At 34.4% G+C, this 16,079-nt stretch overlaps 1 annotated feature.

Moving 5' to 3' along the window:
- Positions 14,720-14,920: a silencer, noted in NCBI's record as "peak599 fragment used in MPRA reporter construct". NCBI's record gives its function as "represses an SCP1 promoter by STARR-seq MPRAs in K562 erythroleukemia cells {active_cell/tissue: K562}" and the evidence as "EXISTENCE:reporter gene assay evidence [ECO:0000049][PMID:32103011]".

The following is a 16,079-nucleotide window of genomic DNA, read 5'->3' as shown; positions in this document are numbered from 1 at the left end:
CTCTTGAGTAGCTGGGATTACAGGCACATGCCACCACTCCTGGCTAATATTTTGATATTTTAATAGAGATGAGGTTTCACCATGTTGGCCAGGCTGATCTCAAACTCTTGATCTCAAGTGATCCGCCCGCCTCGGCATCCCAAAGTGCTGGGATTACAGGCATGAGCCAATGCGCCCGGCCATTTTTTTTTTTTTTTACAGCAATTTCAGATACACATTAAACTTAAGAGGAAAGTGCAGAGGTTTCCCATATACCCTCTACCCCTACACATGTAAAGCTTCCCCCATTACCAACAATTCCTACCAGAATACTATATTTGTGACAATTGATGAACCTACATTGATGCATCATAATCACTCCAAGCCAATAGTTTACATTAGGGTTCACTCTTCGTGTTGTGCATTCTATAGTTTCGGGAAAATGTGTAACAAAATGTATCCTACATTAAAGCACCATAGAGAATACCATCACAGCCTTACCAGTCCTCCGTGTTCTGCCTATTTATTCCTCCCTTCCTCCCAACCCCTAGCAACCACTGATCTTTTTACTGTCTTTATAACTTTGTATTTTTCAGTATGGGACATAGTTGAAGTCATAAAGCACATAGCCTTTTCAGATTGCCTTCTTTCCCTTAGTAATATGAATTTATTATTTCTCCATTTTTTACATGTCTTGATAGGCTCATTTCTTTTAGTACTGAATAATATTTTATTATCTGGATATACCAGTTTATTTATCCATTCACCTATTAAGGAAATCTTGGTTGCTTCCAAGTTGTGTTAATTATGAATAAAGCTGCCTCAAACATCCCTCTGCAGGCTTTTGTGTATACCTAAATTTTTTCTTTCTTTTCTTTTCTCCTCTTCTCTTCTCTTCTCTTTTCTTTCAGACAGTTTCACTCTGTTGTCCAGCCTGGAGGGCATGATCTAGGCTCACTGTAACCTCCACCACCTGGTCTCAAGAGATCCTTCCTACCTCAGCCTCCCAATTAGCTAGGACCACAGTTGCATGCCATCATGCCTAGCTAATTTTGTTTCATTTTTGTAGAGAGGAGGTTTCACTATGGTGCCCAAATGGTCTTGAACTACTGGGCTCAAATGATCCTCCCAACTTGGCCACCTGAAATGTTGGGATTATAGGTGTGAGCCACCATGCCTGGCCTACAAGTTTTTAACTTCTTTGAATAAATAACAAGAACAATTGTGGTTTATATGGTAAGACAAATTTAGTTTTGTACAAAACTGCGAAAGCTGAGTGCTATGGGTCACGCCTGTAATTCCATTACTTTGGGATGCTGAGGTGGGCAGATTGCCTGAGCCAGGGAGTTCAAGACCATCTTGGGCAACATGGTGAAAACCCATCTCTACAAAAGATACCAAAAAAAATTAGCGAGGTGTGATGGTCCGTGCTTGTAGTCCCAGCTACCCGGGAGGCTGAGGTGGGAGGATCTCTTGAGCCTGGGAGGCCAAAGCTTCCATGAACCGTGATCATGCTAGTGCACTTCAGCAAAGGTTATAGAGTGAAATCCTTATTCAAAAAACAAATAAACAGAAAAGAAACTGCCAAAGTGGCTATACTATTTTGTATTCCTATCAGTAGTGAATGAGAGCTTCTGTTGCTTCATATCCTTGTCAGCATTTGGTGTTCTCAGTCTTCCACATTTTGACCATTCTAATAGGTGTATCGTGGTATCACATTGTTGTTTTAATTTGCATTTCCCTGAAGACATATGATATAGAACGTCTTTTTATATGTTAATGAGGCATCTTTGTATCTTTTTGCTGAGTTGTTTGCTAAAATCTTTGACCCGTTTTTTAATTGTTTGTTTTCTTACTGTTGGGAGTGTTTTCGATGAACCTTCTTTCATATATATGTGCCTATGTAATTGCGTATGCATGTATAACCTGATCATGATGTTGTCTTAGCAAGAAATCTAGTAACAAAATTGAAACCCATTTCTCGGTATAACAATGAAGTGGATAAGGCAGGTTGGAGGGAACTAAGGAAAACTAGAGAACTAGAAAAATGTTCAACCTATTATTTTAAGTCTTCTCTCTTTTATTTATGGTCAGTAAGACTAAGCAAATTATTTTTTAATATCCACGATAATTCCTTCTTTGATACATGACTTATTTAGAACTCTACGGTACATTTAATTAATTTATTTGTATTATTTGTCATTGCATAGTGGTCTAAGAATATATTATTTGGCATAAAAATCTGATATTTGTAAAGAAGATTTTTGCATTGTATACTCTTACACAGATAAATATATAGATTATCTAATTTTTGATTTCAGAATTCTATGGGTATCTTTCAGTATTTTTTCCAAATAACTCATGAATGATTGATAAATTATGTTGAAATTTCTTGCTATCCTGATAGGTTACACATTTTCTCTTGAGTTCTATCAATTTTTGCTTTATGTATTTTGAAACTACTCTATTAGATCCATGAAACTACTTTATTAGATGCATACCAGTTAAGAATTATACATTTTTCCTGACAAATATTATCATAATTTAGTAATCCTCTTTATAACACTATTTTTCTATTTTATAGTTTATACATTTAATTAATGTAGTTTACCTCGTGAGCTATACAATTTGGATTGCATTTGCTTAATGCATCATCTTACACTTTAGAAATTCTCTTTGTTCCAATGATTTGTGTGCTCTAAGTATTATATTATTGAAAGTATAATTTCTTTAAAAAAATTCTGAACATCTTTGATATTGGCCTTTGTCTTCTCGGAAACCTCACTTTTAGCGTTTCCTTATTTCACATTGCTTCTGACTCAAGTTTCTCCTCAATTTGTTTTTTGCTGTTTGTTAGATTGCTGGGGGTGGAGGTGATTCTTACTGGGTTTTCAAAGGGAGACTTGTAATTATTTTTACTTAATTCTATGTTATTGCATTGTGATCTAAGGTTTTACTATGATTTCAATACAAGTGCATCAATGCTTTACTATATACTTTATGTAGAATCTACATGTTTTTCGATGTGAAGGCACTCTGAGTATTTACATTGTACTGTGAAATGCAGACATCGTCTATTCCCCTTTTTATTGTGTGACCCAGGAAAGTGTACTATATCTTAGCTTTTCATCTCTAAAATGAACAAAATGATTAAAGTAATACCTACCTTATAAGGTGTTGTAACTATTAAACAAGTTGCCACATGCAAATAGCTTGCTTAAGAGCAATAACTATGCGTGCATTCTCACCGAATCGGAACTCTAAGAAAAGGAGAATGTGGTCGGATTTGTGGAATTTCAAAAAGCTTTCTATTGCTATGGTTGTTTCTGCGCCAACTACCACTGCACAAATTTGCATAAATGTTGAAATTTAGAAAGGTATAGCTCTTCTTCAAGCCATGACCTATAAAATATCTGCTTCACATATTTGAGAATCTCCATCGCTTTCCTCTATCTTCTCTCCTACTCTTTAAAGTACTATGCTGGTTGTAGAAACAGTTTTTATAGACCGCTTTAATCTTGGCTGATAGGGAACAATTTTCAATTGGGTAACTAAAATAGGCTACCCTGCTGTTCTAAGGGAGTTTTCTATGTTATTAACAGGTTTTTATTGTTAAATACTTCCTAACATCCTGAGTACCCGAGGGTTTTCAATTTAAGTTCTTCGTGTCTATTTACGCACTGACTCTAGTATGCATAAGCTCTTTGTCTTTATCCTTTTAAAGATTTAGTTGATATTTAACCTAAGGGAGAAGTTCTGTGATTTTATGGGAATGATAGAATTAAACTGCTTCCCACAAAGTCCCTACAGGTATAAGACAAAAAAGGATGCACTTGGAGAATATATCTCAGGAGGATCCATTGTTACATCCTGTGGAAAATAACAGAGAACCAGACTAATTGAAATTAAAATGCCCGCTGTCATTGTGATAGATAAGTATCAAAACACATTCCCAGAATAAAATATGGAGAGAATGATAGAAGAATGTTCACATAATAAAAAGAAAGTTGATGAAATCCTAAGCACCTGGGCACATTAAATATAGTATCACATTTTTATCATGAGCTTCTCTCTGTAATTAAAATTTTAAACCTCTGATAAGCTTAAACACTAAAATGTTTTTCAAAATTTCTCTTTTATTTTCATTTTTTAAATCAGGTATTAAGATATTCTGATTAATTAAATATTTTTTATGTCATATATTAAATATAAATACTCGAAGAGAATGCTCCTTTAACACTAACATTATATGGTATATTGATTGACCATTTATGATGATTCAGAAGAAATTTTTGAATTTTTAAGGTTATTAAACATTGAATATTATTTTACTATAGTTAAAAACCTACATTTCTTAGAGGGTTTAAAACAATGGGAAAATAATATTCAAAAAATACTAAATGAAAAGACTCAAAGTTCTAATGTTCTTCTATTAAATAGAAAAAATTTTAACAAATTCTTAAGCTTAATAAGATGCATTTGGTTGAAACCTTCTCTAGTCTTAAAAACAAAGAAGCCTATATTACATTTGTGCTTCAATTAATTTACGTTGGTGTAAATGCTAATTTAGGTAATCAATCAAAAGTATCATCCAGTACATGAAAATTCTCTTTAGAGTAGTGTTTATTTTTAAATATGAAAAATGTTCATATACTTACTGCATGTACTAGCACATTTAAGCAAAAATTACAATGAATTTTGCTGCATTCATGTTATCTGCTAAACTCTCTGGCAGAGTAGAAGAGCTTTCTGGAATAAAATAATCTGAATTAACATAATTTTAAGTGTCCATACAATGCATAGTTTTGGTGCTGATAATAATAAGCATGCGGAATTTTATGTTTATTTTACCTATGTGGATCTGCCTTGTAAATATTTAACTTGGGCTATTCTAACTTTTTGTTCTTATACATCTCTGGATATCAGTTTCTTTTATGAACAATGGGTCTAAGTTGAGTGGTTTAACTGTTTTTTTCTACATCATAAAATGCTTGAACTTATTAAGAATTAATTAACAATGATCAAAATATCCAGCTTTTGTAAATATAATTAAGCATTTTTAATGTTTTATAAAATAATTTTTAAGAGACAATTATTCCTAGTATTTTCATATTTCTGCATAGTTAGAGCTTATTTAGCAAAATAAATGGTCAGATATTTAAAGAGGAAACATTTTGGAAGAAATAGATAGTAAATTCCTCTAGAATATAAAGCATTATCTCTCCTATCCTTATTTACCAAAAGGGTAATAAGAACCTGGAGACCTTCCCATCTTTTCTCCAGATGATTTGTGTATATTTCATGGCTAAGGTCTCTTTCTCTCTAGAAGGAAGAAGGAGCAGATGTGACAGTTTCTCCAAATAAGCTTTGGATCTCATAATCTGCGGTTCCTGTTCTGTGGATCGACTTCAATGCTCATGCAGGGTAATATCAAGCTTTTATCACATCACACTGCTCAGAGAACTGGCACTACATTGCTCTGTAAGTAATAATGTTTTCCCTGATCCAGAGACCTTGTGTACCCTTTCAAGATAAGTAAGTAAATATAGATATAAAAGCCTAATACGGAATAACAATTACTTAATAATTCCTTTGGTGTCTATCTTTGCTTAAAATAATAAATTTAACATTCAATTTTTACAGAAAATTTCTGAGTACTTTTATGTGTCAGATACTGTGTTAAGTTCTTTCGCATACATTATCTTAAGTAGTTTGAATCATTATTTTAGTGAACTTGCTCTAAGATTCAAGGTCATAATTTAAATAATGCAGTAAATTTTCTATTAATTTACACTGCTTACAAATAAAGTTTAGAAATCATAAGCATGTTTATCATAAGAATCTTATGTTTAAAATGTATAATTCATGTATCTGTACCCACTTTTAAATCCTCAGTCTTTAAATAAGTAACACGCCAGATATTTCTTCCTTTTGTCTATAGAAAAAACAAAACTCCGTAAGAATGCCAGAAACATTTTAAATAAGTAATGTCATTAACTCATATTGAACAACCAACATAAGAGTGAGGAAGTATGTAGAAAGCAAACATGTTATTTTTAAACCAGTGAGCTTCCCTGAAAATTTAATGTGAATGCATTACTAGGTTGGAGCTCTAACAATATTCACATAGTGAATCATACCTTTTGATGATCTTAACCTTAATTTATGTTATTTGAAGAATTTAATGGTGCTTGTTTTCCATAAGTTAAGAATGCCTTAGTTGCTAGAAATAAAGCATATTCTTGGAGGAATAATTTAAGACATGCTGTATCCAGTTTGTATTTGAGTACTTTGGCTGAGCTAAGCTAATGATTGACTTGATATTTAGAATGCATGTATTTTGATGATCTCACCCACCCTATTTTAAAGTAAAACATGATAAGTTACAGGCAGTGAAAACATTGATCAGTGGTCCCTTAGCAGTCAGTAGAGTTAACACAATTTAGATATAAAGTTCTTAGATGTTACTTTTTTAATAGACAATTGGTAATACTGTAAATAAAAACAGAAATTTAGAAACACACATGACTTAATACATGAGCACATTCCATTAGCTTTCAAAGCAATGATGTAATCACATGTTGTGTAATTTTTAAAAAATCTACATTATGCTCATTAGAAGATGAGAGTGAAAAAAAACCTGATAATATTCTCAGTATTGTTAAGAAAATATTTCTCTTGATTCTGTGGTCACCTGATAGGATCTCAGAAATCTCCAGAGGTTCCCAGACCACAAATTAAGAAGTGCTATTTTGGAATATAACTGTAATTTTTATTTCTCTATAGCATTTTATTATATATAAAAGCAGAAATTATTTATTTTTTCTACTCTGGATATATATTTGGTTGTTTCTATTTTTGTTAATATAAATAGTCTGCTATTATTAATGGCATTTGATTCCAGGTGAATATTTCAAGAGGTTTATTCCAGTAAATATTGCTAGCTGTGGAATGCGTAAGTCATAAAATAATGGTAATATAATTTACCTTAACTTTTCAGGGTAAAGAAAAACTGTTTTCTGACTGGACGCCATGGCTCCTACCTGTAATTCTAGTACTTTGGGAGGCTGAAGCAGGCAGATCACTTGAGGTCAGGAGTTTGAGAGCAGCCTGGCTAATATGGTGAAACCCTGTTTCTACTGAAAATACAAAAATTAGCAAGGCGTGGTGGTGTGCACCTGTAGTGCCAGGTACTGGGGAGGCTGAGGTGGAAGGATGGCTTGAACCCAGGAGGTGGAGGTTGCAGTCACTCGAGATCTTGCCACTGCACTCCCGCTTGGGTGACAGAGTGAGACCTTATCTCAAAAAAAAAAAAAAAAAGGATAAAAAAGAAAGAAAAACTTTTTTTCTAATATGGTCATTTGATTTACACACCCCCTCACTGCAGACTAAGGAACATCCCATTTGCTGACATTCTCTACAACATATTCAGAATTTATCATTTTGCTATTAGATAAATGTAAAATGGTTTCCAATTGGGGTTTCAATTTACCTTTTCCTTATTCATAAGAAAAAGATTTAAAAACAGACATTCAATGTCTTTTTAAAATTTGAATGTCTTTTTAAAATTTGTTGAGTTTGTTATCTATTTGTAATCCTTGTTCTATGAACTATAGCTTCTTCTAGCTAGTATTTTTTATACAAACATCTAATATGTTTGTTACTAATAAAGCTATGCTATTTTCTTTTGGTTAGTGTTTACATATTTTACCCTCTTTTACTTTTACACTCAACTTTTTTCTCTGTCCTTATGAATTAGGGTGTGGTTTTACAGAGAACTTGGATTAATTTTTCATTTATCAGTTTTTTAAGTGGAATTTTAGTCCATTTAATGTAAGTAGATATTTGAAGGTCATATTTACCAACTTATTTTTGGCCTTTCAGTTGCCTCACATGTTCTACTTTTTATTGCCCTGCTTTTTTACCCCTTCAGGGATCAAGTGAGTTTTTTTGTTTGTTTGTTTGTTTGTTTGTTTCTATTTTTCTCCTTTACTAGTTTGGAATCTTTATACTCTGTTTCTGCTCTAGTGGTAACAACAGAAATTACATTATGCCTATTTAACACATAATCTAAGTTAATCAATATATTTCATGTTCTCCCCAACATCAGTCTCTCAGATCACTTTGCTTTTAAATCTCTCATCTTATGAAATTTTACTGGGTAATATAATTTTATTTTTTATAATCTAAACATATATTATTACTTTTTATACAGTCAGCAGCCAATAGCCATAGGATGTACTCACATATTTAACATATACTTTGCCCTTGATTACATCTTTTACTTCTGACTTTTTAACAAAAATCTTGTTTGCCTCAATATACATATGCTCCTATGTAAAATATCTGGCTTTCAACAAGTAATTATAAGATTTGCTAAAGAACAAAACAAACAAAAACAAACACAGTCTGAAAAGATGAAAAAAAATATACTATAACCAGAATTGAGTATGATATAAATTTTAAAAAAAGAAAGTTATTTAAAAGACTGAGAATTTGAAATATCTATTTTTAGTGTGTTAAAGACCAATAGTAAAGGTCTGCAATATGCCAAATCAAATAGATAATTTAATCAAAGAGATGGAAACTATAAGAAAGAATAAATAGAAACACTAGTTATAAAAACACAGTAAAAGAAATGAAGAAGTCTTTTAACAGGCTTGTGTTAGTTCATTAGCACACTGCCATAAATAAATACCTGAGACTGGGTAATTTAGAAAGAACAGGGGTTTAATTGACTCACAGTCGCACATGGCTGGGGAGGCCTCCAGAAACTTACAATCATGGTGGAAGGCAAAGGAGACGCAAAAGCATGTCTAACATGGCAGCAGGCGAGAGTGAGTGTGTGTCAATGCAGAAAAACCTACCATTTATAAAACCATCAGATTTCCTGAGGACTCACTCACTATCATGAGAGCAACATGGGGGAAACAGCCCCCATAATCCAATCACTTCCCACCAGGTCCCTCTCTAAACACCTCAGAGTTACAATTCCCAGTAAGATTTGGATGGGGATGTAAAACCTAACCACATGAAAGCTCATCAGTAAATTTGACAAAGCTCAAGAAATTCAGTAAACCTGAAGATATATCAACAGATTTACTGAAATTGAAATTCAAGAAAAAAAATGAGTATAACTGGCCAGGCACAGTGGCTCATGCCAGTAATCCCAGCACTTTGGGAGGCCAAGGTGGGTGAATCACTTGAGGTCAGGAGTTCAAGACTAGCTTGGCCAATATGGCAAAACCCTGTCTCTAGTAAAAATACAAAAACTAGTTGGGCATGGTGGCACACGCCTGTAATCCTAACTATCTGGAGACTGAGGGACAAGCTTCACTTAAACCTGGGAGATGGAGGTTACAGTGAGCCGAGATTGTACCACTGCACTCCAGCCTGGGTAACAGAGTGAAACTGTCTCACAAAAAAAAAAAAAAAAAAAAATGAGTATAACTAAAGAACAGAACATTCAAGGGCTATGAGACAATAATAAATGACATAATGTGTGTAATTAGAATCTCAGGAAAAAACACACACACACAAACAATAAAATGTGAGACAAATTGACTCACATTTTATATGCCTGAAAACGTCTTTATTTCTCCACTATTGAAGGATATTTTCTTTATATGTAAATTTCTCTATATCTAAGTTTCATAGCAGTAGGTCTGCTGTGGTTTGAATATTTGTCTCCTCTAAAACTCATGTTGAAAACTAATCCCCAATTTTATAGTATTGAGAGGTGGAGGCTTTAAGTGGAGATTGGGTCATAAGGGCTCTGTTCTCATGAATGAATTAATGAATTAATGGATTTATTGGTTATGGGTTATCATGAGAGTGGGTTAGTTATCAAGAGGCTAGGTATGTTATAAAAGTCAGATTGGCTCTCTTGTGAGTCCCTTTGCTTTGTGATGCCCTCTCCTGCCCAGGGACTCTGCAGAGAGTCCTAGTTACCAAGAAGGCTCTCACAAGATGCAGCTTCTAGACCTTGGACTTCCCAGCCTCCAGAAGGATAAGATACAAATTTATTTTCTTTGTAAATTACCTAGTCTGTGGTATTATGTTATAGCAACAGAAAATGGGCTAAGACACCTACCGTACAAAATGGGTTAAAGTTCTGTTGGCAAGATCATTTTTGTAACATCAGAATCCTGAATATACACAGAGAAATAAAGATCATTTGGAGTGGAATAAGTGAATGTCTGAAGGTTATACATAATTTGTGTATGTTTACATATGTGTATATACATATGTCCATGTATATATATATACTCATACATGTATCTCTACATAAGTTTATATGTAATATATATAATATAAAATAGTGCTCTTAAAATAACTAACTTTAAAGATAATTTTAAAAATTACTTAAAGATAGCTAACTTTAAGGCAATAACAGTAATGATGCCTTGGCTGTTTCTTTCTCTCTCCATACACACACAGACACACACACTTATACGATGTAATGTAAAAACTTGTTTACTCAGTATGCATTCATATTTACTAAAGAAGATGTACTCTCCTTTTCTTGTACCATTTATTCATAATCTCCAGAAGATTGGGGGATGAGTGAAAGCAGAAGAATCAAATAACATTCAAGTACTTGCATAGGTAGTGTTTCATTTTATTTAATGTGGATTATAATATTCGTCCTATACTATAAACCTGGAGACTATTCTAGCACCAAGACATCTTAATCTTCCTCTGGGACACTCTAAATTATTTGTTTGATTACATATAATTATGCACTAGTGTAGATTCTCAGATATAATACTGAGGAGAATTTGGTTTTCTATGTCTTGTCATGTGATTAATTTTATGAAAAAGAGAATTATTTTATAATGTTATAAAAGATAATGTTAAAACAGGAAAATGACAAATTATTTGGGTAATGCCATCCCAAACATCTATTTTAAATCAAAGTTACCTATAAAGGCTTTTCTAATGAGATCATAAAAATCTTAAATGTAATGTGTGCTATGTACACGGAAGTGTAACCTAGGTGCAGCATGCTATCAATTTGCAGAAGCAACCCTAAATAATAAACTATATTTTCATATAAAATCATAGAAAAAATTAGTCAATAATGGACAAAATTCCATTTCTCTGGGTAATTATAGTCATTATCTTTATAAAATAAAACTTCAGAAAAATTATCCCTGCCAAAGTTTCTATTTTTTCTCCACTCCAGTGACTTGCTAATAACTAACATTGTTATATGCTTTCATCTAATTTAATAAAGAACATTAATCATCTATTAGTTGGTTCTTTAGCTTAACTTTATTTGCTCTAATCCACAAATAAGACAGCTAGAGCTTGAAGTTGTTAGCATTGGGATTCTATTAGGATATAGCATTTATCTTGTCCCTTCATATTAGTTCAGTTAATTGCATTTGATTTTTTATTATTCTACTTAATGAAATATATACACTATTATATGTAGTGCCAGCCCTAAGCAAAATAGTTAAGCAAATTAATGTGCCTTCACTTTTTCCCTGTATATTGCTCTTCCCTTATATTTAGGAAGAAACCTATAGAAAAGTTATTAAACAAAATGATTGATTAGGTTGGCTTGTCAAGCATCACTGCAAGTGAATGGCATGAGAGTTTGGGACATTTGAACCTTTTGCAATGTTGTTGTCTAAAGAGTTTGTACATGGAGTGATCACATGTATATAATAAATGAAATATGCTAACCTAAATAATATGATTATAGACAAAACTGGGTGTACACAGTGAACACATGAGAATGCAAAAGTAATGGAAGAAATCAATGATTTCTATTATACATTATCTAGCAGAGCATATTATATGAGAATGAGTTACCCATTAGTGACAATATTATTAAAAATAAATCATAAACTATTCTCCTATGAATACATTTAAGTGCAGTTTTATGTTGTCACAAAAGAACAAACTTGCAGGGGCTAGAAACATTGCAAAAGTAGGAACTCTAAGAGGTAATCAATTATCAAGACAGTTTCTATCAGAGATTCCCTATGGACCTTATGTCTTAGTCAGTTTGGGCTGCTAAAACAAATTACCATAGACTAGGTGGCATAAATGACAAGCATTAATTTCTTAGAGTTCTGGAGGCTGAGACATCCAAGAACAAGGTACCAGCATATCCCCTGTCTGTTCAGGGCCCACTTCCTGTCTTATAGACAGCCACCTACCTACTCACTGTATCTATTGGGGGAACCCGCCCCAGATATTTCAATGTAGGTTATTTCTATTTTTCGTAAGTGTTGGCTGGCTGAGAAATAAAGAAAAAGTGTACAAAGAGAGGAATTTTACAGCTGGGCCTCCAGGGGTGACATCACATATTGGTAGGACCATGATACCCACCTGAGCTGCAAAACCAGCAAGTTTTTATTAAGGATTTCAAGAGGAGAGGGGGTGTAAGAACATGGAGTATGTCACAGAGATCACATGCTTCAAAGGGCAAAAGCAGAACAAAGATCACATGCTTTTGAGGAAACAGGACAAGGACAAAATCAGAACTACTGATAAGGGTCCAACAAAGATCGCAAGGCAAAGGGCAAAAGCAGAATTACTGATAAGGGTCTATGTTCAGTGGTGCATGTATTGTCTTGATAAACATCTTAAACAACAGAAAACAGGGTTTGAGAGCAGAGAACCGGTCTGACCACAAATTTACCAGGATGGAGTTTCCCAATCCTAGTAAGCCTGAGGGTACTGCAGGAGACCAGGGCTTATTTCAGTCCTTATCTCAACCGCATAAGACAGACACTCCCAGAGCTGCCATTTATAGATCTCCCCCCCAGAATGCATTTCTTCCCCAGGGTATTAATTATTAATATTCCTTGCTAGGAAAAGAATTTAGCAATATCTTCCCTACTTGCACATCTGTTTATAGGCTCTCTGCAAGAAGAAAAATATGGCTCCATTTTGCCCAACCTCGCATGCAGTCAGACCTTATGGTTGTCTTCCCTTTTTCCCTGAAAATTGCTGTTATTCTGTTCTTTTTCAAGGTGCACTGATTTCATATTGTTCAAACACACATGTTTTACAATCAATTTGTACAGTTAACACAAATATCATAGTGGTCCTGAGGTGACACACATCCTCAGTTTACAAAGATAACAGGATTAAGAGATTAAAGTAAGACAGGTGTAAGAAATTATAAGAGTATTATTTGGGAACTGATAAATGTCCATGAAATCTTCACAATTTATGTTTCTCTGCCTTGGCTCCAGCTGGTCCCTCCATTTGGAGTCCCTGACTTCCCACAACATGTATCTTTACATGGCTGAGAGAGAGATCATCTTTTTTTTTTTTTTTTTTTTTTTTTGAGACGGAGTCTCGCTCTGTCGCCCAGGCTGGAGTGCAGTGGCGCGATCTCGGCTCACTGCAAGCTCCGCCTCCCGGGTTCACGCCATTCTCCTGCCTCAGCCTCCCGAGTAGCTGGGACTACAGGCGCCCGCTACCACGCCCGGCTAATTTTTTGTATTTTTAGTAGAGACGGGGTTTCACCGTGTTAGCCAGGATGGTCTCGATCTCCTGACCTCGTGATCCGCCCGCCTCGGCCTCCCAAAGTGCTGGGATTACAGGCGTGAGCCACCGCGCCCGGCCGAGAGATCATCTTTTTATAGCTCTTCTTATATGGACACTAATCCCATTTGTGAGGGCTCTACCTTCATAACCTAATCACTTCTTAAAATCCTCACCTTAAAATATCAACACTATGGGATGAGGTTCCAACACGTGAATTTTGGAAGGACACAAAAACTCAGTCCATAGCACTGAAGATACAATGAAATTCTGTTTTGAGGACTGCATGAGTTACAGATGATAGAAACTATAGCTTAGTACCTGTACAATGCAGGAAGTCTAATAGCAGATGCCCATGTAGATACAATTTTTCCTAATATAACATTCTCAGTATAATTGTGAATGAAAAATAAACATAACTTGCAATACAAAACTTGCATCTTAACTTTAGTGTTGGGAGACCACACAGAAACAAAGCAAACAAATAAAATATCTCCCCAGCAAATCATAAAGATGTAATGGCCATTGTGTGATTCTTAAAAATTTCAAGTTAAAATTTGTATCTGAAATATTCTTTTATTGTAAGTCTCTCAGGTAATTGGAAGAAGCAAGCACACATCCTCTTTGGAGGAATGACTTTTTAAATCCAGACTTCAGAGCATTTCACTTATAAAGTTCAAGGAACATAGACTCACAATTAAAAATAAAACAGACAAGCAAACAAAGAAACAAAAATAGATCACAGTGGCCAGATGCAGTGGCTCACACCTGTAATACCAACACCTTGGGAGGCTGAGGTGGGTGGATCACTTGAGGTCAGGAGTTCGAAACTAGTCTGACCAACATGGTGAAACCACTAAAAAGACAAAAATTAGCCAGGCGTGGTGGCAGATGGCATGTAATCCTAGCTACTCAGGAGGCTGAGGCAGGAGAATCACTTGAACCCAGGAGGTAGAGGTTGCAGTAAGCCAAGATTGCACCACTGCACTCCAGCCTGGGAATGACACTCCGTCTCAAAAAAAAAAAAAAAAAAAAATTAACAGCACCATATGTAAGAACCAGTAGGGGAAAACAAACAAACAAACAAACAAACAAACAGTGGGGTATAATAGATAAGAATTTATTGAACTTTGAAATTCTCATATATAGACTGAAATGTATCTAGAATTCCGTGTTAAAGAAATGGAAGGAAAGCAAGTTATGTAAAAAAGAAACAAAGACTTACATCAGTTAGATTTTACTGACAAACAAACTACTTGAAAATTTAGTAGAGTCGATGAACTATATTCAACAGACTGTTTTTCTCAACAGTCTGTTGTCTAACTTCCAGCAGAATACCTTCAATTTATTCACATGGCAGAATTTTAACAAGACTTGAAAGAGGGACTTCTCAAGTCTCTGCTTCTATGATGTTTGTCACTGTCTCACTGGCCAAAACAATTCAGAAGACCAACCCATTTTCACATTTTGGAAAAATAGATTACAATCTTTGATGAGAGGTTCTTGAAAATCCTGTTACAAATCCTGAATATCCTGTTACAGATATATATATCTGGATGGTGCAAACTCATGGTCATTTTTGCTTTTTGCCTCTTCTTGCCACAAACTATAAAACATGGCCATGTAAATTTAGGGATAAATGACAGAAAAAAAGAAAAGATACAATAATGAAAACTAAATATATCAGTGGTCTGTTAGCTACATTATAGACACAGCTGAAAAAAAGTATCTGTAGACTGTAACATATCCCATAAAAATTACCTGAAATGCAACCCCAAAAAGGCTATGGAATGCACACTATGAGAAAATGTTAAGATACATCAAGGATAAGAAAAGAGAATTTATGACTAGCTGGTATTTATGAGATAGATATTAGATATTAAGCGTTAAAGGCAATATCTGAAAGGGTAATGGCTGCTAATTTTTTCAAAATGGCTTAAAGACACCTATATTCATGTTAGAAGACCTCACGAATCTGTTACCATAAAAGAGGTCTTGAGCTAGACCCCCTGAAGAGGGTTCTTGGATATCACACAGGCAGGAAATCAAGGTGGGTCACAGAGCATAATGAAGGAAGCAATTTTTTTTAGAAGCTACTCCATTACAGAGTAGGGCTCCCTCAGAAAGCAAGAGAAAGAATGCCTGGACTTTGTTTTAAGTTTTTCTTAGATAGGGGTTTTGTCTATGTAAAGACTAAGCTAAGCTGTGTCGGCATGCAGGTCAGCCAACATCATGACAAATTGATTACTCTATTGATTTAAAGAGAACTAGTTTTGGCAGTCTAGTTTTTGAGTACATTAAAGCATAACTATTACTATCTCAAAAACACATATGGTCATGGGTATTGGGACATCTGGACTCTCTGTTGTTGTAGAAGTGTGTCTTTGCAAGTGTCTTTAGGCTGTTTTCTCTACTGTAAATGTCCCATGAATGTGGGTCATGACCATCAAGCAATGTACTTTGCTAATTTCAAAATGAGGTTGAACTTAAAATGGCATTACTCTGGCTCTCCCAGGCTCCTGTTTCCCTAACAAATTTTTACTAAGAAAAATAAAGGACTATAAATAAAATAAAACTCATTATAGACA

Source organism: Homo sapiens, chromosome 1, assembly GCF_000001405.40.
Source record: "Homo sapiens chromosome 1, GRCh38.p14 Primary Assembly".
In the NCBI taxonomy this organism is placed as follows: Eukaryota; Metazoa; Chordata; class Mammalia; order Primates; family Hominidae; genus Homo; species Homo sapiens.
Note: the sequence above shows the minus strand (reverse complement) of the source record. Positions and strands in the feature narration are given on the sequence as shown.